This window comes from Homo sapiens, chromosome 16 (assembly GCF_000001405.40).
Source record: "Homo sapiens chromosome 16, GRCh38.p14 Primary Assembly".
Lineage (NCBI taxonomy): Eukaryota > Metazoa > Chordata > Mammalia > Primates > Hominidae > Homo > Homo sapiens.
This window is the reverse complement of record NC_000016.10, coordinates 50,263,290-50,288,525: the sequence shown is the minus strand read 5'-3', so window position 1 is coordinate 50,288,525 and position 25,236 is coordinate 50,263,290. Positions and strand designations below refer to the sequence as shown.

At 54.0% G+C, this 25,236-nt stretch overlaps 1 protein-coding gene across 33 annotated transcripts in view, besides 8 other annotated features; it reads right to left on the bottom strand.

Moving 5' to 3' along the window:
* ADCY7 (adenylate cyclase 7) overlaps positions 1–25,236 on the bottom strand; it is a 73,437-nt gene that overhangs the window by 29,610 nt on the left and 18,591 nt on the right. For 5 of the 33 annotated variants that reach the window (XM_011522835.3, XM_047433554.1, XM_047433570.1 and 2 more), the window contains exons 1-2: positions 14,328–14,395; positions 176–614 (exon numbers count right to left, since the gene is read on the bottom strand). In XM_011522835.3, coding sequence (XP_011521137.1) covers positions 176–346 — 171 coding nt within the window. In that variant the 5' untranslated portion in view covers positions 347–614; positions 14,328–14,395. Of the gene's footprint in view, positions 1–175; positions 645–8,821; positions 9,005–14,327; positions 14,396–17,744; positions 17,779–21,845; positions 21,976–25,236 lie in introns of those variants that run through there. The other 28 variants (XM_047433551.1, XM_047433560.1, XM_011522837.4 and 25 more) reach the window with 11 other exon arrangements.
* Positions 4,091–4,592: an enhancer, noted in NCBI's record as "H3K4me1 hESC enhancer chr16:50317845-50318346 (GRCh37/hg19 assembly coordinates)". NCBI's record gives its function as "activates a minimal SCP1, AML or CMV promoter by ChIP-STARR-seq in naive H9 embryonic stem cells {active_cell/tissue: H9 hESC(naive)}" and the evidence as "EXISTENCE:reporter gene assay evidence [ECO:0000049][PMID:30033119]".
* Positions 14,075–14,144: an enhancer, noted in NCBI's record as "active region_10814". NCBI's record gives its function as "activates an Ori minimal core promoter by ATAC-STARR-seq in GM12878 lymphoblastoid cells {active_cell/tissue: GM12878}" and the evidence as "EXISTENCE:reporter gene assay evidence [ECO:0000049][PMID:35858748]".
* Positions 15,556–16,390: an enhancer, noted in NCBI's record as "H3K27ac-H3K4me1 hESC enhancer chr16:50306047-50306881 (GRCh37/hg19 assembly coordinates)". NCBI's record gives its function as "activates a minimal SCP1, AML or CMV promoter by ChIP-STARR-seq in naive and primed H9 embryonic stem cells {active_cell/tissue: H9 hESC(naive and primed)}" and the evidence as "EXISTENCE:reporter gene assay evidence [ECO:0000049][PMID:30033119]".
* Positions 16,391–17,225: an enhancer, noted in NCBI's record as "H3K27ac-H3K4me1 hESC enhancer chr16:50305212-50306046 (GRCh37/hg19 assembly coordinates)". NCBI's record gives its function as "activates a minimal SCP1, AML or CMV promoter by ChIP-STARR-seq in naive H9 embryonic stem cells {active_cell/tissue: H9 hESC(naive)}" and the evidence as "EXISTENCE:reporter gene assay evidence [ECO:0000049][PMID:30033119]".
* Positions 22,203–22,292: an enhancer, noted in NCBI's record as "active region_10813". NCBI's record gives its function as "activates an Ori minimal core promoter by ATAC-STARR-seq in GM12878 lymphoblastoid cells {active_cell/tissue: GM12878}" and the evidence as "EXISTENCE:reporter gene assay evidence [ECO:0000049][PMID:35858748]".
* Positions 22,203–22,831: a biological region, named in NCBI's record as "H3K27ac-H3K4me1 hESC enhancer GRCh37_chr16:50299606-50300199".
* Positions 22,238–22,831: an enhancer, noted in NCBI's record as "H3K27ac-H3K4me1 hESC enhancer chr16:50299606-50300199 (GRCh37/hg19 assembly coordinates)". NCBI's record gives its function as "activates a minimal SCP1, AML or CMV promoter by ChIP-STARR-seq in naive H9 embryonic stem cells {active_cell/tissue: H9 hESC(naive)}" and the evidence as "EXISTENCE:reporter gene assay evidence [ECO:0000049][PMID:30033119]".
* Positions 23,899–24,078: an enhancer, noted in NCBI's record as "active region_10812". NCBI's record gives its function as "activates an Ori minimal core promoter by ATAC-STARR-seq in GM12878 lymphoblastoid cells {active_cell/tissue: GM12878}" and the evidence as "EXISTENCE:reporter gene assay evidence [ECO:0000049][PMID:35858748]".

The window sequence follows — 25,236 nt, the reverse complement described above, 5'->3', positions numbered from 1 at the left end:
AGCCTGGGTGACAGAGTGAGACTCTGTCTCAAAAAAACCCAAAAACAAAACAAAACAAACAAAAAAGCATAGCATTTTACAGAAGATAAGCATTTTACAGAAGAGGCTAAGAGAAGATAGCAGCTTGGCCAAGGTTGGGGCCGAGACGTGAAGCCCAGGGGCTGCCCTCACTCACCCCCTGGCTGAAGGCAATGATGATGAGGGCCACGCAGGCAGTGGCGGCCACCAGCAGGAGCGTGAGCAGCAGCGGCCCATGCTGGCTGGTGAGCTGGTACTTCTCGTAGAGCGCATCTTGGTCAGGGCCCTCCTCGCCCTCGTTGAGGAAGTAGCGCCCCTTGGCTGGCATCCTCCACCCTTGGCACGCGTGTCGTTAAGGGGCCGTTAAGGAGGCCCCAGGGCCTGGAGGGCATCTGTCTGCCAACACCCTCCCCCGTGGGCCTAGGCCTCTGTCCTCTCCGAGGCAGGCAAGCAGGGCTGGGGAGAGGGCCTCTGGGCCTGCTGCTCCATGGCCAACAAGGGGTCCGCACAGCTCTGGCACCAGGCCTCACTCACTGTGCCGCCAGCATCCTCCTGTGCATCCAGACTGGGCTGACTCCACACGCAGTTCCTCAGCTCTGCGGAGACGAAGCAGACAGGAACTTGACCTAATGGTCCAAGTCAGGGGAGGGCTAGCATCAGGGAGAGCGGGGCCCAGGCCTCACAGCACCAAGTCTGATTTATCCATCTTAACCCTAACCTAACTTTTATGTCCTGTTGTCGTAAAGCTAGTCCCCTGTGTCTTCTAGGACTGCACTGTCCAAGATAGTAGCCACTAGCCACATGTGGCTGCTTTTTTTTTTTTTTTTCAAGACAGGGCCTCACTCTGTTGCCCAGGCTGGAGTGCAGTGGCACGATCATAGCTCACTGCAGCCTCAAACTCCCGGGCTCAAGTGATTCTCCCACCTCAGCCTCCTACGTAGCTGGGACTACAGGTGTGCAGCTAATTTTTAAATTCTCTTTTGTAGAGATGGGCGTCTCCCCCTGCTGCCCAGGGTGGTTTTGAACTCGTGGGCTCAAGCAATCCTCCTGCCTCAGCCTCCCAAAGTGCTGGGATAACAGGCATGAGCCACCATGCCCAGCCACTATTTTAAATTAAATTTAAATTAATTTAAAATAAAATTAGAAATTCAGTCCCTCAGTCACACTAGCCACATTTCAAATACTCAACAGCCAGCCAGGCATGGTGGCTCATGCCTGTAATCCCAGCACTTTGAGAGGTCGAGGCAGGCAGATCACCTGAGGTCAGGAGTTCGAGACCAGCCTGGCCCACGTGGTAAAACCCCCCTCCACTAAAAATACAAAAATTAGCCGGACATGGTGACGTGTGCCTGTAATCCCAGCTACTCGGGAAGCTGAGGCAGGAGAATGGCTTGAACCTGGGAGGCAAATTTTGCAGTAAGCTGAGATCGTGCCATTGCATCCAGCCTGGGCAACAGAGTGAGACTCCATCTCAAAAAAAAAAAAAAATCAAATACCCAATGGCTACATGCAGCTGCTGTACTGGACAGCACAGATAAACAGAGAATGTCTATCATCACAGAAGCTTCTACAGGCCAGCTCTGCTCTGCATGTTTCACTGTTTTGCTTTCACACAAAGGTCTCTGATCCATTTCGATTCACTCTGGGTATGGTGTGAGGTAGGGATCAAGGTTCACTTCTTTTTTCCATATGGATATTGAATTATCCCAGCAGTGTTCAGTGAACCGGCCATCCTCTCTCTGAATTTCAGTGGAGCCACCTCTGTCATAAGTCAGGTGATCACACACAGATGGTGTCTGTTTCCAGGCTCTGCTCTGTCCCCATGGTCCTGGTGCAATCACCACATTCACTTCATTTTCCAGTGAGTCTCATGCCTCCAGGCACAGAGGGTTCCAAGCTGTGATCCTAGGAGCCCTGAGATTTGGGGACATGCATCAGGCCCCCAATGGGAAGGGAAGGTGGGGGGGCATAGGCTCAGGCCCCCATGCCTGCTTCAGCCAGGGTAGCCCCCTGCATCTGTGTTACAGTAAGCTCCACATAAAACTGCATTTTCTTTCTCTCTTTTTTTTTTTTTTTTTGAGATGGGGTCTCACTCTGTCACCCAGGCTGGAGTGAAGTGGTGTGATCATAGCCCGCTGCAGCCTCAACCTCCCAGGGCTCAGGCAATCCTCCCACCTCAGACTCCTGCGTAGCTGGGACCTCAGCTATGCAGGAGGCTAAGGTGGGAGAATTACCTGAGCCTGGGGAGACTTAGGCTGCAGTAGGCCATGTATTTTTTGTAGAGATGGGGTTTTGCCATGTTGCCCAGGCTAGTCTTGAACTCCTAAGCTCAAGCAATCTACCCTCCTCAGCCTCCGAAGTGTTAAGCTTTCAGGCACTGTACCCAGCAAAAATCTTGTTTATTTTTTTAAATAGCCCACTGATACAAATTTCAGATGTCTGCAAGCCGTGCTTCACAGAAAAGGGAGCTGAGTCTCAGAGAGGGACACAGTGGCCCCTTTGTGACAACACTGTGAGCTGACCCCACACTTGCCATGCTCAGCCCATATGGGTTCCTTCTTTCCCCAGCACCATTCATTCCTTAGCATATTCATTGATTCCAAAAAGGCTTGTGAATCACACCTACGCCTGCCAGCCCTTATATCTCCTGTGTGCTAGTCTGGGCTCTCTCTCCCCAGGGATCCCCATCAGTCTCCAAAGGTAGGAAAATTACCAAAATTGTGCAATCCCTCACACAGCAATGGGGACTTGGGGACAGCTGCCATATTCCCAGCAGGAACCTTGCATGAAGGGGGCAACCCTGGACCAAGAGTCCACGCCCCCAGTGTCCTCCAGGCCTGCCTCAGATTGGAACCAGGACAGGGCCAGAGGCAGAGGGCAGGGAGGCTGTGAGACACGGGACAGCTCAGAGCAGTCACAGGGCACAAATGGCCAGCCGCCAGCAGAAGCTTCAAAGGACAGCTGGTCCAGCGGAGGGAAGATGGCCAGGTGAGCCCCCAGCCCCCAAAGGCAAAAAGCAGGATATCCAGGGTCCCCAAGTCCCCAACCAGCACCTGCTAGTATGAGATCCCTGGGGCCACCTCAATTCCAGGAGCCACCTCAGGCTCTATTTCCTCTGGAAGTTCCTATTCCATCACCACACACCAGGAACAAAATGGTAAAACCACATATTTGGGGAAGGAGGAAGGGGTCATTTGCTGGGGGCCCCATCCCCTTCAGTGCCTGGGCAGGTGTCTACAGGCCTTGGCACCTGTTCAACGAGGGGCAACCCTTCAGGGATGTGGCCAAGAGCTGTCAAAGTGCCCAAAGTGCTCAGACAGGCTACAAATCTGATTTCTACGTGAAATGATGATTTTTAAATGTTGGCAGCTGATTTCAAATTTTTCAATATTTGCAGCCCACTAGTTTACAACCTCTAAATCTAAACTAATCAGTCTGTATTCCACAAGAGGCATTTACTGTGTGCTAACCATATACATCCAACCCTGTGCTGTGGGGGTTGCCAAACAAGATAAGGTCCCTGCCTGAGATACATTCAATTCAGCACCCCCCACCCCAAAATAGCCCTTTGCAGTAATAACAGCAGCAGTTCCTGTCACCCCCGGCACCTGCACACACATTCACTCTCATCTTCACAACCGGCAAAGGCCAAGGTGGCACCACCGTCTCACAGATGCAGAACTGAGCCCAGAGAGGCAGAGTGGTTGCCTAAGATCACACTGCTGGAGCTGGTGGACAGATAGGCTGGGATGCAAACCCAGGTCTGCCAGCTCCCAAACCAGGGCTCCTCAGCCCAGGCTTGCCCACTGACATCCCGGGGGACTGAGCCAGATGCCACAGCACACAAACAGCAAACCCACCTGACCCCTGGCCTGCTGCCAAACACCAGTGCACCAGGACAGCCAGGCTGAGAAGCTCCAAACACCAGAGGGCTGAGGCCACTCCCCACAACTGCTCCATCTCCCAGGCAAAGCCCCCAGACCAGAGCTGAGGCGGCCAGACACGTGCATGAAAGTGCAAGTGTGAGAGTGTGTGGACACACCCGCTCCAGGCACACAAAGCCAGGCTGGGCCACCACGAGGAAAGGGAGGAACCAGCTGAGAGAGTCCCAAGGGCCCGTGGGAACACAGGCCTGGTAAACACGCCTCTCAAGGAACTCATTAGGCCACTTTCTGGGCAACGGCAGGCAGGCGCAGGTGGACAGTGGACAACATGGGCACAAGGACTTCAGCCCATCCAGGGACCTTGGCCAGCTCCTGGAACAAGCCGGGCACCGTGAGGCCTGGGGGGAATGAACTCACTGATCACATCTCCAGAGGGGGCCCAGGAACCCACCACCAGTGGCATGTCCCCAGGCCAGCTCCTCCCTAGGAGCCACCCCGCCAAAGCCAGACCCAGAGGCACCCCCTGCCCGGGAAGTTTTCAAGGCCTCCTGTCCAATCACCAGTTCTTCCACCAGCCCTCGACTCAGTTGGCAACAGGGAGGGCCTCCCCACAAGGCCCTGGATAAAGGAATCCTTCTGCCATGTCTGAGACACATCCAATCCAGGGCTCCCGGATTGAATGACCCTGCTGTTAGCTTGCACACCTCCATGACGGGGGGGCTCACCACCTCTCAGGGCAGTCTCCTCCATCACTGGGCACTTTTTCTGGCCCTGAGTCCTCCCTTAGCTCAAGGCAAGCCCTGCCTCCCTGTCACTCCCTCACCCACACCGCATGGGTCCTGTCTGAACTCCAAAGCCACCAAGAGCAGAGGTATCACGTCCCCTCTTCCTGAGGAGACTGCAGTCCCAGGGGGTCCCTTACTTACTCTCACCTCACGACCACCCCAGTGGTAGAGCAGGGTGAGCAGCCCCATTTTAAAGAAGAGGGGACTCCCCTGTGGGGAAGGTGTCCACATGGGAGGAGGGTATTTCATGCTTCTGCTGTGCAATGTCCCTTCTCCCGACCCTCAGTACCCTGGTTCATGGGCCACATGACCCCAGTGTGGCCAATCAGCAAAGTCCCTCTCAAGCCCTAATGCCACAGGCCTGGGAAGTGAAGGCTCTCTTTGGACTTCTGCTGACCCAGGGAAAGAGGCGTTCTCTTTTGTCGGTGACCTGACACTGTCAGCAGACACCCGAGCCACCACAAGGAGAGAGCCCACCTGAAACTGACACCAACATGGAGAACTGGCACAAGACAGGGGCCTGGCAACACCTCCTGGGGTCACAGGAGCCAGCTGTGCCTGAAGCTTACGCAACCTCTAGATATTTAACCACATGGGACAAGCAATGCCCCTTTCAGCTTCAGCCAGTTTGAGCTTCTGTCACTCGCAACCAAGAGTCTCAAAGTCCACATCAGGCTTCTGGACCCAGTTTGTTGCGTCTAACAAGCACCCGTGGCCCCTCAGTGGGTTCAGAGTCAACTGGAAGGGTCTCAGTCAGCACAGAGGTAAGAGTGTGCCCCTGCAGACACAGCCAGTCCTCCAGAAAGGAGCTGGGTCTTGGAGGGGACAGCCCCGCTCATCCCTCCATCACACTTTCCAGGCTCCACAGCCCAGCCCCAGCCAGGAGTTCAGGAGTTTAAGACCAGCCTGGGCAATATAATGAGACCCCATCGCTATAAAAAGTTGTTTATTTTTTTTTTAATTAGCCAGGCTTGGTGGCATACACTTGTAGTCCAAGCTACTTGAGAGGCTGAGGCAGGAGAATTGCTTGAACCCAGGAGGTCAAGGCTACATTCACTGAACTATGATCATGCCACTGCACTCCTGCCTGGGTGATAGAGAATCCTGTCTGGAAAAAAAAAAAAAGCTGGGATTTAAACACAGGATATCCGGGGTCCCTATCACCCTCATGGGGCTGGCATCCAGAAATCCCATAATATCCCAAAACACCAACCTCTTCCCTACAAACAAGGCCCAGGACAGAGCTATGACCAAGAGGTGGGGAGCTCAGGGGACCCCATCGAATTACTTCCCTCTGCCTTGCAGGAGCAAGTTCAGGCCAGCGAACTCCAGGAGGGCCTCCTCCTCCAGGAAGCCTGCTGAGCAACCCCACACACACTCCCTTATCCCTTCCCTGCAACTAAGGCAGGACTGTGGTCTCCTTATCAAATACTGGCTGGCTGGGTCCAGGTTCTCCAGCCAGAAGACCTGCTGGAAGCAAGAGGCTGGGACTCCATACTGCAACTGCAGGGCCAGGTCCCTGGGTGCTCGGAAAATCCTTCCCCAGTCCAGCTGATCTGGCAGCGTCCCCAGCACAACCACAGCCCTTGCAGGGAGTATGTTCTAGAAACCCCCAGCTTTCACAGATGCAGACAGGACACCCACTTCCTCACCCGGCCACTGTTGGCAGAAACCACAGCCTGGCTTCCTCCGGCCGAGCCTCAGCAGGCTCAGGGCTGCTTTGGGGCCCTGTTGGCCTCAAAAAGGGGAAGTGGGGACCTTGGAGTGAGGGGGGCATGGAAGCCTCCAGGGAAGAGGCCCCGCTCAGGCCCCTGGGCCCACACCCTGCCTGGGACGCCACGCAGCTCCAGACAAAAAACCTGCATGCTCCGTCTCGCGCCCCCGGTCCTGCCGGCTCTCGGCTCCCCTGGTAGGCTGGGTCTCAGGCAGATTTTTCATTTGCCAAGGGAATCTCATATTAACGCGAACTCTCTCAAGAGACCCTGAGCTCCATGAAGCCAGCAGCTGCTCTGCCCAGTGCAAGCCTGACCTAAGAGGCCCCCAGTAAACCTCGTGGGACCCAGGGATTCAATGTTGCTGGTATTCAAGGTCCCATCCCCCCAAGCCCAGCCCTCTCTGTCCCCAGAGCCCTGTGGCCCCCATGCCCTGCTCTCCCAGGCACCTCCCGTACCAAGAGGCCTTCCCAGTGTGGGTCCAATATCCCGGCCCCTGACTTGCCAAACTGTCGTGGTGGGATCTGTGTGTGTGTGTCCCGCAGCTGGTCCTGGCAAACACCTGTGACGTGAATGGCCGAGCAGGGTAGCCAGCCAGAATCCTGCACCAGGCCCAGGGTGGGGAAGCACGCAGAGTGGCATGGGTGAGGGAGGAGGGCGCCACAGCCAAAGGATGAGGGCAGATGAAGAAAGGGCCTCCCTCAAGATCGGGAAGCACCTGCTGCACCTGCCGCACCTGCCTTACCTGCCACAGCACACCTCTCCCAGCTACGCTTGGCCTCTGGGAGGATGCCTGCACCCAATCCCAGCTCTGCTACCAATGGCCTGTGAATAGCAGTCGCCTGCACACTCTGGCCTCAGTTTCCTCATCAGTAAACTGGGGGTGCTGATAACCAGGTTGTCTGCACAGGTCATGATGTCCAACAGGCCAAGCTTGCAAGACAAATTGGCAAATGGCCAAGAAGGCACGCTTAGTGTCAGAGGAAGCCCTGCAGGGTCAGAGCCCAACCATGGGGTCCAGGGAGAGGCAGGTGCAGAGTGGGCAGGCCCCCCACCGCATCTCCTAACAGCCTGCAAAGTTGCCGAGCAGGGGCAAAGACTGAAATTCCCCAACGGCATGAGCCCCCAGCCAACCCTGCTCCCCCTCCATAGCCCCCAAGCACCCCCAGGCTGACTTTGTTCCCACTCCCAGGGCACAGGCTGCTGATCAGTCTTGGGGACCAGAAACCTGCATTCCAGTCCCAGCTTAGCCACCAACCTGCTCTGTGACCCTAAACAAGTCTCTTGCCTGACCTGTGCCTTAGTTTCCCCTCTTGCAAAGGAGGGGCTGTGTCAGACCTCTGAGGCCAGCTCTGGCCTAGTTGGGACTGGGCTGGGGGTGGAGGCTGAATCAGTTAATGAAAAGGATAGGCAACTGGAGAAAAACTGAGGGAAAAGGCTGATGTTCTCACCTGGCCCCAGAGAGCTACTTCTAGGGATGGGTAGAAAGTTGTTCTTTGATTCTTTGGGACACAGCTAGGGTAGTGTTAAGAGGGAAATTCATAGCACTAAATGTCCGAATCAAAAACTTAGAAAGATCTCAAATTAACAACCTAACTTCACAACTGAAAGAACTAGAGAAGCAAAAACAAATCAACCCCAAGCCTAGCAGAAGACAAGAAATGACAAAAATCAGAGCTGAACTGAAGAAAATCAAGACACAAAAAACCATTCAAAAGATCAACGAATCCAGGAGTTGTTTTTTTTTTTTTTGAAAAAATTAATAAAATAGGCCACTAGCTAAACTAATAAAGAAGAAAAGAGAAAAGATCCAGATAAACACAATTAGAAATGACTACAGGAATGTTACTAATGACCCCACAGAAATAAAAAACAACCATCAGAAACTACTACAAACACCTCTACACACAAAAACTAGAAAACCTAAGAGATGGATAAATTCCTGGACACACAATCCTCCCATGACTGAGCCAGGAAGAAACTGATTCCCTGAACAGATCAATAATGAGCTCCTAAATTGAATTAGTAATAAATAGCCTACCAATAAAAGGCCAGGACCTGATGGATTCACAGCTGAATTCTACCAGATATACGAAGAAGAGCTAGTACCATTCCCACAGAAACTATTCAAAAAAATTGAGGAAGAGGGACTCCTCCCTAACTCATTCTATGAGGCCAGCATCATCTTGTTACCAAAAACTGCCAGAGACACAACAAAAAAAGGAAAAAAAAAGTGTTCTTTGTTCCTGAAATCCTCCCCTCCACTTCATTCATTTGGTTAAGCATTACCCTGATCAATCTCCCCTTTAAAATGCACCCCCAAGGCTCCAGCTGCCAATGATAATGAATCCAGGTCCACTATGTCTCATGCCCATTCTAATGCTAGTTAGTGACTGCCCAGGGAGAGTTCGTCCATGCATACCTTCAGCAGATGTGCACTCATGCCTTCTGTGCACCAGGTGCCAGGCCAGGTACCAAGAGGGAATTCTGCTCAGGAAATGAGCTCCCAGAAGGCAGAATCCTTAGCACTGCCCCAACCAGGGTATCTGCTAGGTCTCTGCACACAGCGGGTGTTCAGGCAACAGTGTTTATCAACTGACTAAGCAATCAACCAGGCTCCCCTGTTGGAGAAATAGCCCTACTTTTTCCTCACTCTTGCTTGAAATTCAATTAGTGATTCATTTCTTTAAGCACTGCCCTCACTAGCTTCCCCCTTCAGAAGGGAAACACTTTCACGCCCACATTTAACAGATTTCTGATCCCTTTTCCCTTGATAAGGAAGAACAGAAAGGGGAAGTCCAGCTGGCCATGGGGGACCTCACGTGGTTCTCGTCCTGCCCAGGACAAGAGGGTGCTGGCTGACTTCCCACATTGCCTAGGGCCCCACCCTGACAGTGGGTCCAGCAGTGACAGCAAGACATGAATGGGGCTGGGAGGTACAAGAAGAGCTCCATAGACCTGGCACGGTGGCTCACACCTGTAATCCCAGCACTTTGGGAGGCCAAGGCAGGTGGATAGCTTGAGGCCAGGAGTTCGAGACCAGCCTGGCCAACATGGTGAAACCCTGTCTCCACTAAAAATAGAAAAATGAGCCCAAGGTGGTGGTGCGTGCCTATAGTCCCAGCTACTCGCGAGGCTGAGGCATGAGAATCACTTGAACTCGGGAGGCAGAGGTTGCAGTGAGATGGGATTGCACCACTGTACTCCAGCCTGGGCAACAGAGTGAGGCTCTGCCAAAAAAAAAAAAAAAAAGAGAGAGAGAGAGAGATCCATTTCACGGGCCCATGGACAGATGCAACCCAGAGTAACCACTGTCCTGAAGGGGACAGGAAAGATGTGCATTTGAGTCTTAACTCTTAGGCTGCTAGTATTCTGTTTAGAAAGGCAGCATCCACAAGACAGCAAGCAAGCTGGATTCACAACTTATACCAGGATTATTTCCAAAGAGAGCAAGAAACTATGGGAGAATTCTCATATGATGCTGTAGTGAATATGGCCTTTTTATCCTGACACAAAACCCAAAAGCCATAAAGAAGAGACTGATAAGTTCAGTTACATGAAAAAACAAAATATACATGGTAAAAATTACCAAAAGCACAATCAAAAGACACGTGACAGATTAGGGGAACATTTGTGATTCATATCACAAGGAGCTAATCTCCTTCATATGTAAAGAGCTCCCACAAATAAAAAAGAAGACCAATAGCCCAATAGAAAAATGGGAGAAGACTAGGAAGAGAAAGTTCATAGAAAAGGCAATCTAAATGACTGTTAAACATTTGGAAGGGCCAGGCATGGTGGCTCACGCCTGTAATCTTGGCACTTAGGTAGGCTGAGTCAGGCAGATCACATGAGGCCAGGAGTTCGAGACCAGCCTGAGCAACATGGTGAAACCCCATTTCTATTAAAAAATACAAAAACTAGCCAGGTGTGGAGGTGCATGCTTATAATCCCAGCTACTTGGGAGGCTGGGGCACGAGAATCGCTTGAACTCAGGAGGCAGAGATTGCAGTGAGCCAAGATCATGCCTGTAAACCAGCCTCGGTGACAGAGTGAAGCTCTGTCTCAAAAAAAAAAGCAACCCACAACCAACCCACAGCATTTGGAAGGAAGCTAACCACACTCGTAATGAAACACAAATTAAAACTACCATGGTAGGCCGGGCGCAGTGGCTCAAGCCTGTAATCCCAGCACTTTGGGAGGCCGAGGTGGGCGGATCATGAGGTCAGGAGATCGAGACCATCCTGGCTAACACGGTGAAACCCCATCTCTACTAAAAATACAAAAAATTAGCTGGGCGTGGTGGCGGGTGCCTGTAGTCCCAGCTACTCAGGAGGCTGAGGCAGGATAATGGCGTGAAACTGGGAGGCAGAGCTTGCAGTGAGCTGAAATTGTGCCACTGCACTCCAGCCTGGGTGACAGAGCAAGACTCCGCCTCAAAAAAAAAAAAAAAAAAAACCTACCATGGTAGCCAGGCACAATGGGATGCACCTATAGTCCCAGCTACTTGGGAGGCTGAGGCAGGCGGATCACTTGAGCCCAGAAGTTTGAGTCTAGCCTGGGTAACATAGCAAAATCCCCATCTTTAAAACAAAAACAAAACTACCATGGAAAACCATTTTTACCTATCTGATGGGCAAAGATCAAAGCATTTCATAAGTCTCATAAGTCTGTGTTGGAAACAGTCACTCACATTCCCTCCTGGGCAGGAATGTGAGTCAGTACAACCCCCAGTGAAGGTAGTTTAATAATACCTAACAAAGTCACTGAAGGACATATTTGCTTTTTGACCTACCAAATCCACTTTGAGTAATGTATCGTACAAACATTGTCACAAGTATGAAATGACATAAGTACAAGATTAGTCATTGAAGCATTATTTGTAATAACAAAAGATTGAAAATAATATACCTATCAGTCACGAACTGGTGAAATAAATTATGATACAACCTTACAATGGAATACTATGCAGCTGTCAAAAAGCCTGAGGCCACTTGAAACTAACGTCACAGGGTATCCTGTGAAAAATCCACATGGCAATGCCTGGAACAAATAAGGATGGAACCAGGACACAGAAAAACCAAAACTCTTGATTTCACAGAGTGGATAAATCCCACTTCTCATTTTCAGTTTCTATTCCTATTGTCAGTGTGTTGCTTATGTGACTAAAAAAAAAAAAATGTGTAATAGGAAAAATGAATCCCAGGCCCATCACACCTAAATTGCATGACCTAGCCAGGTACATTGGCTCATGCCTGTGATGTCAGCTATTCAGGAGGCCGAGGCAGGAGGACTGCTTAAGACCAAAAGTTCAAGATCAGCCTGGGCAACGTAGTGAGATGCTATCTCTAAAAAAATTTTAAAACTAAGCCAGGCACAGTGGTACATGCCTGTAGAGCCAGCAAACTTGGGAGGCTGAGGCAGGAGGACCTCCTGAGTTCAGGTTAAGGCTGCAGCAAGTGATGATTGTGCCACCACATTCCAGCCTGAGAAACAGAGCAAGACTCCATCTCACTCATTCATAAATTAAATATTAAAACAAATAATACATTACATGACCCAACAGACTCTCTGTGCCTCAGTTTCCTCATTTTAACAAAAGGAGAATAACAGTCCTACCCCACAGGATTTTGAAAGGATTCAGTTGGGGGTGATGCAAGCAGTGTACTGAGCCACCCCTGGCGCAAAATGCCCCAGTCTAGATGGCATGCATCACCAAGATGTCAGAAAGGGCCATGGGGTGCAGAAGTGAGAGGGCCCGGCACCTGTCCCCACCCCTCAACCCTGCCATGAGCCAGCAGCACTGGGGGTGAGGAGGCCCGGCCCCTACTCTGGTCTGTGAGTGCCCAGCCTCTGGGAGGTAGAGAGAACATTGGTCAGCAACTCAGGCCGGCTTTCCAGGGCCATGAGTGGCAGTGTGGGCTGACCCCTCCATGTAGGGCCTAGTTGGGCCTCAAGGGAGCAGCCGTCCCACCCAACCCAGGTCAGAGGGAGGTGGTGATATTGGTCTGAGCTGGAGGGAGCTCACAGGTGACATCCCAGGCAGAGTCGGGTCCTCGGCCCAAGCCTTCCAGGCTTGCTGGCAGGAGACGGCACAGTACCCAGGCCTCAAGACAAGCTCTGCGACCTCTGAGCCCAGCCGGGAGACAAACTGGGCCAAAAACCACCTGGCTGGCTGTCTCCTCTGAGAACCTGCAGAGAACCATGAATGGGCTGGGCTACCCAAGGGTGGTGGGCGGGGGTGCTCTCGCTCCATTTCTAGCCAGGGCAACTGACTCTGGGACCTTAACCTCCAAGCCCAAAGCCCACCTGCTAGGAAACAGTGGAGCTAGGATTCGAACCCAGGCCTGCCCCTCTCCAAGGCCCAGTGCAGATTAACTCTCTATCTGCATTTCCTGAGGTGCATTCTGCCCAAAAGCAGGAACATGAAAAGCTACATATGCGCAGCCACACACATCCACAGCCATTTCTGGTCACAGGTGGTGCTGAGCTCAACATTCTCCTCTTCCCCATTTAAAGATCCCCCATACACATTAGCAAATTAAAGGCTCTGACAAGTCCTGCAGGAAAGAAGCCTGCTGAATTAAACACAGCTGAACATTTCCCCATCCTTTTGTTAATGAGACTCTTTTTGCACTGAATCCCTAATGAACCTCCTTTGGGAAATGCTGACTTTGGAGTCTCTGAGACCCACCTAGGAACTCCTCCCCTAAGAAGGCTCCCTGGGTAGCTGTGGCCTGTAGAGCCCACTAGCCTCCCCTTAATTGACAGCCTATGAAGCTCTTTAATGCTGGGGGCCCCACTTACCCACCTCCACCTGACCCCAGGTTGGGCTAGCTGCGCACAAGAAGGTTGCAGGTGCTGGCGGGACCAGCCCATGCACCTGCCTGTGGGCCAGGACACCTACCCTGAGCTTAGCCTCCCAGGTGGAGGTGAGAGGAGAGGCCTGAGTGAAAGACCAGGGCTCTCAGGTGCTCACGGTCTCAACAGCACCCTCCCTAGGCAGTTTTCAGCTGGGAAGCACCTTGCCCTGGGGAAAAGCAAGCAGGAAAACAGCTCCAAGTGCCAACCCGGCAAAGGGCTCCTGTCGAATTTCCTGCCTCTCCCATGGAATGCAGAGGAGTGGCCCACCTGCCTCAGTTTCCCCATCTGCCACAGTGCAGGGAATAGAGCCCTGGGCTGAATGTCAGGTGATGTAAGGTACAGTCCCAGCTCTCCCTGTCACCAGCTGTGTGACTCGGGCAATTCTTCACCCTCTCTGGGCCTGACTCCTCCAGGGCAGGAAAGGCCTCCAGGGTCTCTGAGGGCCCTTCCCACTCAGACCAGCAGAGAAGCCAGTCACAGAGAGGTCAGTGGGAGAGGCCTCTCCCACCCAGAGCTCAGCGTGCCACCCATGGAGCTCAGTGAGGCGTCACTGCCTAGCCTGGCCTCCTGTCCCAACAGCAAGCCTGAAGCCACCACCTGGCCCGGAGGCCCCCAGTTTGGCCTCCATGACACCAGCTCGCAAAGTGCCCAGCCCCAAACCAAGGCGCTAAGACCCTCACTTCCCCGAGGCTTCCTGAGAACCCGATCCAGGCCTAGGGGGCACGAGAGACACAGAGGGGACTGCCTCGTGAAACCGCGCCAAGAGCCCGGAAGAGCCCTTCTGCAGGGGAAGCAGCCCCACCCAGCCTCCCCCACCAACCACAGCCCCAGCTTCCGGACCTGCACCCACACAGAAGAGCCCTCGCCATGGCTGTCCCTGGAGCCCAAGACCCCATTCCCGGTCACTCACTCCTTCCTTCCACAAACCCTGCCCTTACGGAGCTATTGGGCACAGGAGGTCACTGTGATGGAGTCTCACGCCACAGGAGCCCCGTGGCCCCCGAAACGAGGCCTCCCACACCTACCCAGGACCCCCCAAAACACCAAGCCCGATCTCTGCTCACCCCTTGGCCAAAAAACGCCTCTAGAGCTTCCCTGGCCTCCTCTGTGGCTGCGTGATTTGGCTGATTTCGGTTCCCCAAACAAGCCCCACCCTTTCATCTCCAGCTCCGGCAATCTAAAAACACGCCCACCTCCTCACCTCCAAATGCCTTCTGCCTGGCGAACTCCTGCCCGCCCTTCAGGGCCAACCTGAGCTGCCACCTCTTCCAGGAAGGCTGCCTGGTCCCCTCCCAGTCTGGCCTTGTTCCTTAGCTTCCCCAGGGCCTGCACCTCCCACAGAAGCACAGGCTACCCTGACCTGTCACTACCTGGCTGCACGTCCAGCCATGCACTACCCAGCTCCCAGGATCTAACCCTGCCTGGTACACAGGGACATCAAACCCCATACTCCACAGACTGGGGGGTACAGCCAGCACTGAACTGGCAGCTAAGGACTGGGCCCCAACCCTGGAATCCCCAGTCCCAACTGCATGAGCTCTGGCAGGTGACCTGCCTCTCAGGACTCAGTTTCTCACCTGAGCAATGGGGATGAAACCCTTCTCTTCGCTCCATGGCCTATTCTAGCAGTGACGTGACCTCATAGCTATAAAACCTCATAAACCCCCATTGCACATGGAAAGGGGCCCATCCTGCCACCAGGAAAGAGGCCACATGTTGGTGCCACCAGACCCCCATCTGCCAAGTGCCACTGAGCTCCTGCCTGCAGCAGGTGCAGGCACTGCTGCTGCTACAACACACAGGACAGGCATGGGTCCCCTGAGGAGCTCATGCCAGGAGGAGGGCAGATTGTCATAAATGAGCCAAGTGAGGAAAAGAAATGCCAGGGCAGGGCAGAAGGGGAAGGCAGGAAAGCATGGTGGTTGGGAGCACAAGCTCTGAGATCCAACAGCAGGCCGTGAATCTCAGCTCCACCTTGGAGGAGCTGTGTGACCTTGGGCATGTTCCTGAACCTCTCTGGGCCTCAGTTTCCTAACCCACAGAATGGACTGGTAACAATACCAGTTCTCAGGGGCTTCACGTAGATGTGGGCACACAGCAAGTACCATCACCCAGGGCCACCCCAGTCAGCTCCAGACACCAGGGTGAGCAGCCTGAGAAATCGTGACATAAACAGGCACTGGGGACACACTTCAGTACCAGGGTCTCAGCCTCACTTCCTGCCTGCCCCCAAAGGGCAGCTCTGCTCTTGTACCCATGCCCAGGAGAGCTGAGCCTGACAAAGGGATACAGAAGTGCTGGTCCCTGCCCCCAGGGGATGGAGCAGTGTCTCCAGGGAGTCTGGGTATATCAAAAGAGGCCACTTCCCATTAGCCCAGGCCCCCCTTAAAATAGCTCCTTCAGACAGCTTAAAAGGGCTCCTCCTCCCAGCCAGAGGGGGTACCGGAGACAGGCCTGGGGGCCCAGGAGCCAGATGCGCACACACACAGAAGGAGGTCTCATCCCAGCCTACACCAGCACCCTGGACCCCTGCTCCAGCAAGGAGATGCCCAGGAGGAGGGAGACCCAGACTCCCAAGAACAGCAGCAGGACCAAGACAAGCCCACAAGACTGGCCCCCAGTCCACATCCCTCCCATGAGTGAGGCCAAGGGATGTGCTTGTGAATGGGGCAGGGCCTGCAACTCCAACATAGCTCCCACCAGGAAGACACACCAGCCCCAAGGCTGCAGAGCTCCCAGGGCCTCAGTTTCCCCATCTGTGCAGAGCAGCTGCATCCCAGGGTGCTAGGCTTCTCCCTGCCCAGCCAGTCGGTGACTCCAGGAAGCAATGATCTCAGTCAGCTGCGCCCGAGGCAGTGTGACTAGGTTGTTTCAGAGGCCAGCATGAGGAAAGCTGGCCAGTTACAGGGGCAGGAAGGGCACCCTGGAGGGCAGGAAGAGCCTGGGGCCTGGAAGACAAAGCACCCCGATCAGGGTGCCCTGGGTCCAGCGGCCTCCAGGGATCCGGGCCCTAGAAGGCGGGTGGTGGCATCACCCACTGCAGGTACCTTCTGCCTTCCAGGGACATGAGCTCCTCCCCAGGGTACAGGCCTGTGTCTGAGGGTCATGGCCATTCCTTCTGCCCTGTCACCTCCAGCATGTCCTGATACCCTGGGAGGAGGCAAGAATGGGCAGAGCCTGGGGCCAGGAAACACAACTGGAAACGGGGGTACCTGCACCAAAGACCTCCCTTGGCTTCCCTTTCCCTCAGGCCCAGTCGTGGGTTCACCCTTCCAGTGGTCAGCGGTGGTGGGGGAAACAGGGACATAAAGGGAGGATGGTGAGAAGAGGGTATCCCGGCGTCCCTTGGGCCCCAGCCACAGCAAGACAGGGGCTCAAAGCAAGGCCAAGGGGGTGGGGGAGGCGGCTGAGTGAACAGCTCAAGAGCAGAGCCGGCTGGGTCCCCTCTTCTCCCCATGCTGGAGGACCCCTGAAGGAGGCCCTCACCTGGAGGACACAGCCAAGCAGCAGTTGGGGAGAACACCCCAGGCAGTGGGAACTGTGGGGGCCAAGGGCAGGAAAGGGGCAGGAGATAGCCAAGCTGGGAGTGAAAATGTCAGGGGGGCTGGCCCAGAGTGGATAACGGTGACAAGTGGCGGGAGTGGGGAGGGAAGTCAGGCCCGGTCTGGGAGGGCCTCACAAGCCAGGAGAAACTGACCAGATGGCTGTGCTCTAGAACAGGGAGGACCTTCTCCCAGGCCCAAGGTCAGCCGTCCCCACCCCATCCTAACACAGAGTCTGCTCAGGTTCATCTCGGCAGCACTGGGCTGTGCTGTGCTCAGAAAATGCCTGTGAAATTGGCCCATCAAAGAGGACAGGCTGGGTGTGGTGGCTCATGCCTGTAACCCCAGCACTTTGGGAGGTGAAGGTGGGAGGCTCTCTTGAGCCCAGGAGGTCGAGGCTGCTGTGAGCTATGACCAGGCCACTGTACCCCAGCCTGGGCAACAGAGCCAGACCCTGTCAAAATAAAAAATGAGAGAGCTGGTGGCGGCAGGAAAGCACGGTCCTAGGTATTCCAAGGAAAAAGGCCACCAAAGAGGAACGGAGCTCTGGTCCCAGACTCACCACCCAACCCTTCTCCACCCCAACACTGGTCCCTTCTAGAAAGGCTTCCAGGCTTCCAGGGGAGAGCAGGGAACGGAGGGTGCTTCGGCCAAGCAGGTCTGCACTCAGGGTTGGGCAATGCCCTAGCCATGATGTGGCCAGTTGAGAAATCCGTGTGCAGCAGCAGGTCAGGCCAGATGCCTATGGCAAGCCGGGTGACACCATGCTACTGTCCTTGGTGGGGAGGGGGCCACTGCACAGATGAGGGGGCTGGCGGGATCCCCGGCACACACAGCTGGAGGGGCTCCAGCCACTGTGTGGCAACCTCTCAGCCTGGGCACACCAGTGTCAGGTGCCTGGGAAGGGTTTTCACCCAGCTAGCCCTCCCATTAACCTACCTGAGCACTGCCATCAGCCCCATTTTACAGATAAGGAAACTGAGGAACAGAAAGAAAATGATTAGTCCGAGGGATGTAGGTGACAGGGAGGCTGCTCAGCTCAGCCCTGCCTGCCTGCACCACCCAGGCTCCCCCAGGGAGGTCCAATCTCCCACCCAAGGCAGGACAAGGCAGACGAGAGCCTCACGACACCGACAGTGACGCACACTTCCACTTAGGTAGCGCCTCCGCTGTGCCAGGAGCAGAGTGTGCATCAGCTCATTTAATCTTTACAACCACCTGATGCAGGGGGTACCTTTACCAACCCCATTTCACAGGTGCAAGAAACAGGCTCCATCCCTTGCTCATCTCACACGCTGTTGGGAGGAGGCAGAACAGAGCTGGAACCCGTGCCGCCGGACCAGAGCACAGTCCAGTTCTGCCTGGAGGCGGGATGCTGGACCGGATAACCTCTGGAAGACCCCTGCTTCTCTGGCTGGTGTTCAGATGTGGTCTCATTCTCCAGTTCCAACTAACTTCCAGCTCTTGGCTACATGTGTCTATCTATCTGTTTATCTATCTATCTATCTATCTATCTATCTATCTATCTATCTATCTATCTATCTGAGACAGGGTCTTGCTCTATTACCCAGAGTGGAGTACAGTGGCATGATCTCAGCTCACTGCAGCCTCCACCTCCTGGGCTCAAGCAATCCTCCTGCGTAGCTGGGACTACAGGCATGCACCACCATGCTGGCTAATATTTGTAATTTTTTCCTAGAGTTGGGGTTGTGCCATGTTGCCTAGGCTGGTCTCAAACTCTTGAGCTCAAGTGATCCGCCCACTTCAGCCTCCCAAAGCGCTGGGACTGCAGGTGTGAACCACGGTGCCTGGCCACACGTGTCTTTTAAAAGTAGTAAATGCCTCCCTCCCACCCCATGAAAGGCTAGAATGGGCTGCTCTGATACAGGCATCCACTGTGACCCACTCTGCATGCTCCCTCAAAGGCCTGGAACTTTCTCCAGCGGAGTTAAGCGCTGCTCTCTCCCTGGGCAGTGGGAGAGGTAGGAGAGAGGATGCTGTGTCACCTCAGTATGAACAAGTCCACATCCTCTTCCTCCAGGACAGCAGGAGGGAGGCAAGGAGCGGTGCTGAGGGTCAGGCCACCCAGCCACCTCTGTGACCCTTGCAATGACAGGGAGTGGACAAACCACCTACCTCCTGGCTAAGGCATGACCCAACCACACATCCAGGAAAGCACGTGAGACAGCCCACCCTGGCCCAGCCACGCAGAAGGCCTCGTCCTACCTCTTCTCTCCCGCAGTGGGCCCAGCGAAGTCCAGGCACAGGGCAGGGTAGGGGAGGCCCTCACAGGAGCCCAATTCCTCATCTTCCCAGTAAGGACCACCCCCACGAATCCCTCAGCACCAACCAGAGCCCCTGTTCTCAGCTTTGCCCCATCTGATCTCGCCAAAGACACAGTGTGCTGGCCCTGACTCCAGGCTCAAATGTGGCAGCAGACCACACTGTGGTGGGCACAACTGGATGCCTGAGGACCGATCTGCTGGGTTATTCAGGATAGACAGCCCCTCTGGGCCCTGTCTCCTCTGTAAACTGGAGGTGAACGGCACCTACCATATGGAGCGGTGGAGGAGGTGGGGAATGGGTCAAATCAGTAGCTATAAATTGTAGAGTGGGGTGCATGTCCCCAGTGCAACCATCGAGTCGGACTTTTGTCTCTTTTGAAAAATTTATTTATTTTGAGACAGGGTCTCATTCCGTCACCCAGGCTGGATGGAGTGCAGTGGCACAGTCATGGCTCACTACAGCCTCCAACTCCTGGGCTCAAAGGATCCTCCTGCCTTAGCCTCCCAAGTAGCTGGGACTACAGGCACACGCCACCACACCCAGCTAATTTTTGTATTTTTTGTAGAGACGGGGTTTCGCCATGTTGCCCAGGCTGGTCTCGAACCCCTGGGCTCAAGTGATCCGCCCACCTTGGCCTCCCAAAGTGCTGGGATCTTTTCTCCTTTTGAGACTCTCCTGTGGCCTGTCCAGAGGCCACACTCCAGCCCAATTTCTACTTCCTGAGCTCTCCCTACACCAACCTCCATGCCCTCAAGCAAACCTCCCAGACCTACTCCTGGCAAAGATGTTCTGCAATACCACCTTCACCCTCATCACCCGGAAAACAGCTGCTAGTAAACAGCTGCTTCTTTCATGAAAACAGCACTAGAAGGCTGGGCGTCGGGCTCATGCTTGTAATCCCAGCACTTTAGAAGGCTGAGGCGGTAAGATTGCCTGAGCTCATGAGTTCAAGGTTGCAGTGAGCTATGACCACTCCACTGCACTCCAGCATGGGTGACAGAGTGAGATCCTGTCTTAAAAAAAGAAAAGAGGCTGGGGGTGGTGGCTCACACCTATAATCCCAGCACTTTGGGAGGTCGAGGTGGATGGATCATTTGAGGTCAGGAGTTTGAGACCAGCCTGGCCACCATGGTGAAACCCCGTCTTTACTTTACTAAAAATACAAAAATTAGCCAGGTGTAGTGGTGTGGTAACTGTAGTCCCAGCTACTCAGGAGGCTGAGGGAGGAGGACGGCTTAAGCCCAGGAGGCAAAGGTTACAGTGACCCAAGAGGGTCACTACTGCACTCCAGCCTGGGCAACAGACAGAGACTCCATCTCAAAAAATAATAATAAATAAAAATAAGAAAGAAAGAAAATACCACCGGAGACGCTACCTCCACAAAGCTCACACCTGCCCTTCTGAGGGCCACAGAATCTGGAACAATCTGAGAGCCTCCCCTCCCCCACACTCTGCACCAGGAGCTGCAGGTAAACCTTGGGAACCCAGGGCCTCTGGAGGTGGGAAGACAGACAACTGGGTGGGAAGCGAAGGCTGTGCAGCAAACGCCTTCCTGAGCTGCAGCCCCCTCAGCCTCCTGCACTTCCTGCAGGGCTGGCACTTGGCACTTCCTCTCAAATTGGCTGGCTTGTCACTTTTATGTCTCCTTTGGCCTCGTCTAAGACAATAATACAGTCATGATGTCACAATGGCAATGTCCTATTTACAGATTTTTTTTTCCCCAAGACAAATACTTAGATTTTAAACATGTCCTTCCACACACAGGCTAGAACCCCCTGTGATTCCCTGGGCAGCCCGGTCCTCACTCCGAGAAACACTGGTGTTGAGTCCACCCCTCACAGCCTCCATCTGCAAGATGGTGATGCTAGTGAAGGCCCACGGTCACATAGCCCTTCCAGACACATCCAGCCCACACTGGCTGCCCGTCCAGGCCTTGGACCCAGGGCCCCTGTCGTAGGTGGCTCGGCCTGGCCCCTACCTCCAGGCCCTTGGCTTCCCCCTCCCGGCCCTCCCTTCTCCTCTCCAGCAATGGCTGTCCAGGGAGGAAGCCCCCAGCCACAGATGTCCCTGCCCTTGACCCTGATGTGATGACACAGAGAAGAGGCAACTGCCTCACCCTCTGTACATACATGTTTAGATGAATGCATAGAAAGCTCCAGAAAGACCCGCTCCAGAAAGACCCACTCCAGATGGCCCATGCGGTCCCTGGGGGATAGAGGAGAGGCATTGCAGGGAAAGGGAAACCAGTCTGCTTTTTGGAGGCATCTTGGTTTCCTGACCCTCAGGCATGCACTCCTTTCAGAGGTTTTGTTTGTTTTTTGTTTTATAATTTCATAAAATTAGTTGAATTGGCCTTCCCTTGCCAATGTTTCCTTTCATTGAGAAAAGTCATGTGTGCTTGTAAATGTAAAATTACACCCTCGAGAAGGAGTGTGGACATTTGAGAGTCTGTGGTTCCTAGAATTCCAGATGGAACGGGCCACATGTACAACATTGTGGTCACAACCGCACTTTCTTGTCAGGCTGGGAAAAGCCAGTGACAAGTCGCCTCTGGTCCCCTGTTGAAGGGCCGCCTCTCCCAGCCATCTGCCCAGTAGGCTCACGGAGCCTCCTACTCCCCCAGCCCAGACCCTGCCCAGTGCACTCCCAGGCCAGGCTGCCGGGTGAGCTGCTTCCCACCCACTGTCCAGCCCCGTCCCCTGGGGCTCAAGCCACTAGGACTGGTGACACTCCATCCCCACACCCCACTTTTACCTGGCTCTCCTCCCCGGCCCCAGCAGCCGGCCAGGGTCTGCAGGGAGGTGGCCCGGCCCCCGCCTGCCCTTCCTCAGACGCGCCCAGGCTCACCCATCCGAAGGCTCCTTCCACGCTACCTAATGAGAGTGAGTCACATCTGGGACCCACCACTTCCTGCTCCGGCAGCGGCAGCAGCGGCGGCGGCGGCAGCAAGGCTAAGGCACAGCCCACAGCCCAGCCTCTCGGGGTGTGCAGGGCCCCCTCCCCCAGCCACAGTGCTGCTCTCCGCAGCCTGGGAGCTGCCAGGCCTGGGAGCTGTCGGGCTCCAATGACTTCATGGAAATTTGAAGCTTGAAGCTGGAACAATTTTGAAAAAATAATAATAAAACAAGCACCAAAAACCTCCATTAGAAGCCCCAAGACAACTGTTCAAAGTGGGGAGCAAATGCATCCTTAGTGAGCAATTAGCAATTAGCGGCCTGGCCTGAGCCTCCTGTGGGCTCTGACGCTCACAGACAGGCCCCCCGCGCCTTCCTGGGACTCAATTTCCCTATCTATGTAGTAAGGTGGCCCCGTCCACCTCTGAGAGGGGCCCAGGAGAGGTCAAAGATCTTCCAGCCCAGCCCACTGCCTCTCCATCTCACCTACGCTCCCATGCTGGGAGCAGGGCAGGGGCAGGCCCATCCTTGGGGCTCCTATTCCAAAATCAGAGTCCCTGGAGAGCCCCCAACATCCCTGGGCACCATGAGGCTGGGAATCAAACCCCAGCACCCCTTCTGCTATGCCAGGCCTCAGTTTCCCCACTGGGATCATGGGGCGCTCAGTGGCGAGGGAGCAGATCAGGAGAGGCTAAGAGGAGAGAGTGGAGACTCCCAAAACAGAGGGGGAGGCCTCCAGCCCGCTGGCCACAGCAGCACCTGGTCCTCAGGGAGCCCTTCTGAGCATGTGACTGGCATCCTGGGATTACGAGCTCCTCAAAGCAATGGTGTACCTCCTCCACCTCCCACATCCAGGGTCAGACACCCCTCTTCTGGTCTTCTAACCCCTGCACCTTCCTCCATCACAGCACCTCTGTGCTGTGACCACTGGTTGCTGGTCTGTCTTTCCTAGGTTATATCCTTGAGGAGGGCAGAGATGGGAGGGCAGCTGTAATATCAACAGCTGTGTCCCCAGCGTCCAGCCCCAGCTGGTCACAGAGTAGACATCCCACACATACTGATCAGGAGGAACTGAACATGTTAGGTGCTGTCTCTGTGCCAGGCCCCATGCAGGGAACTAGCAGGTGATCTAAGGTCTGCCATCTGGTGGAGACAGGCATAGGACTCACACAGGGTTCCAGGCTGCTCCAGAGGCCACAGGAGGGAGTGGGAGACCTCAGGGGATCCTCCCCATCAGGGTCGCCCTCCTATCAGCAAATGTCTCCCTAGCAAATGTCCCAGAGCAGAGAAGGAACAGACATCATCATCATCAAAAGAGGGGAAAGACAAGCCACTGACTAGGAGAAAGTCACATCCTATATGACTGACAAAAGACTCCTCCCTAGCATATATAAAGATCTCCCAGGCTTGGCATGGTGGCTCATGCCTGTAATCCCAGCACTTTGGGAGGCTAAGGTGGGCGGATCACCTGATGTCAGGAGTTTGAAACCAGCCTGGCTAACATGGCAAAATCCCGTTTCTACTAAAAGCACAAAAATTAGCCAGGCGTGGTGGCATGAGCCTGTAATCCCAGCTACTTGGGAGGCTGAGGCAGGAGAATCACTTGAACCTGGGAGGCAGAGGTTGCAGTGAGCCGAGATCACACCACTGCACTCCAGCCTGGGCAACAGAGTGAGACTCTGTCTCAGAAAAAAAAAAAAAAAAAAAGACCTCCCACAAACCAATAAGAAAAAGACAAATGGCCCAATTAAAAGATGAACAAGAGACTTACACAGGTACTTCAACAAAGAGGATGCCAAAATGACCAATAAGCACATGAAAAAGATACTCAACATCATTAGCCACCAGCAAATTAAAACCATATAGAGATTCCACTGTACCACTAGAATGGCTAAAATTAAAATGAAAATACCAAGTGTTGACAAGGAGGAGAAGCAGCTCTTCACTCTCATGTACTGCTAGTGGGAATGTAAAATGGAGCCACCATGATGAAAACTGCCTGGCAGTGTGGACAAAAGCAAACCATATGCTTCCCCAATGACTCAGCAATTCAATCTCAGGTATTTACCCAAAAGAAATGAGTACATGTGTCCACAAATGACTTCTATCCAAGTGTTCAGAGAAGCTTTCATCCTAACAGTCAAACTGCAAACCCAAACATCCTGCAATGAGTAAATGGATAAACAAATTTTCATATATTCACACAACAGAAAATTACTCAGCAGTAAAAAGGAACAGATCACTGCTAACACACAACATGAATGAATATCCAAGATGGCAAGGACAGTGAAAGACCCACCCACAAAAGACACATTCAGCACGTTTCCATTTATATGAAACTTCAGAAATGATGAAACTAATCTACAGTGACAGACAGCAAGACAGCGGTTGCCTCTAGGGAGGCCGCTGATTGGAAAGGGGCACACAGGAAACTTCTGGGGGCTGAGGAGGTTCTAAATCTCCCTGTGGGTGCTGGTTATACAGGCGAGTGCCTAAGTACACTCATTACCCTGTACATTGAAGGTTTGTGCACTTGCCTGTATGTAAATTACCCGTCCATTTTTAAATGGGTATTGAGGGATACCCGTTTGCGTATGCAGGAGGGCATGGTGCTGGATGCTCAGTAGATTCAGGAAAAAGAACAGATCTGACCTGGCCCAGTGGGCGAGAGGCTGATGAGACACATGCTCAAACCCTGAGGAAAGCGCGGCGTGGAGATGGAGCCGCTGGGGGAGATATCGGGGGCCAAGGGGAAGGGGCATAGGAGGCAGGGCAAGTCCAGGGGAATGGCAGGTGGGGAGCGACCCACCCTGACCAACATTTCTGCAAGATGATCTCGGCTTGAGAAAAGGGGCAGCTTGGAGAGGACACATGTAGATGCCTGGACACAGGAGGGGGGTTCCCCACTGCCTGCTGGGAGCTTATGGGGCCCTGGGCTTTCCAGCACCGGCCATAGAGCAGGGAGTGTGTGAAGATAAACTGGCCATACAGCAGAGGCTGTATGATAACAAACCCTGCAGTTTGATAATGAGAGGGGCACAGTAAACCCTGCCGTTTGATAATCAAGGTTCCTGTCCCACTGAGCAATACCTCCTGCCCTCCCAGGCTGCCCGCCCAGCTTTCTCCTTGGAAGATGTGGCGGTGAGTCTCTTCCCTGCTGCAGCCTCAGCACTGCCTCAAACCAGCTGCTCCCCGCAGCCGCAGCCACCAGCCACCACTTGACACCCCACCCCTCACGCTGTCTAGGAGGT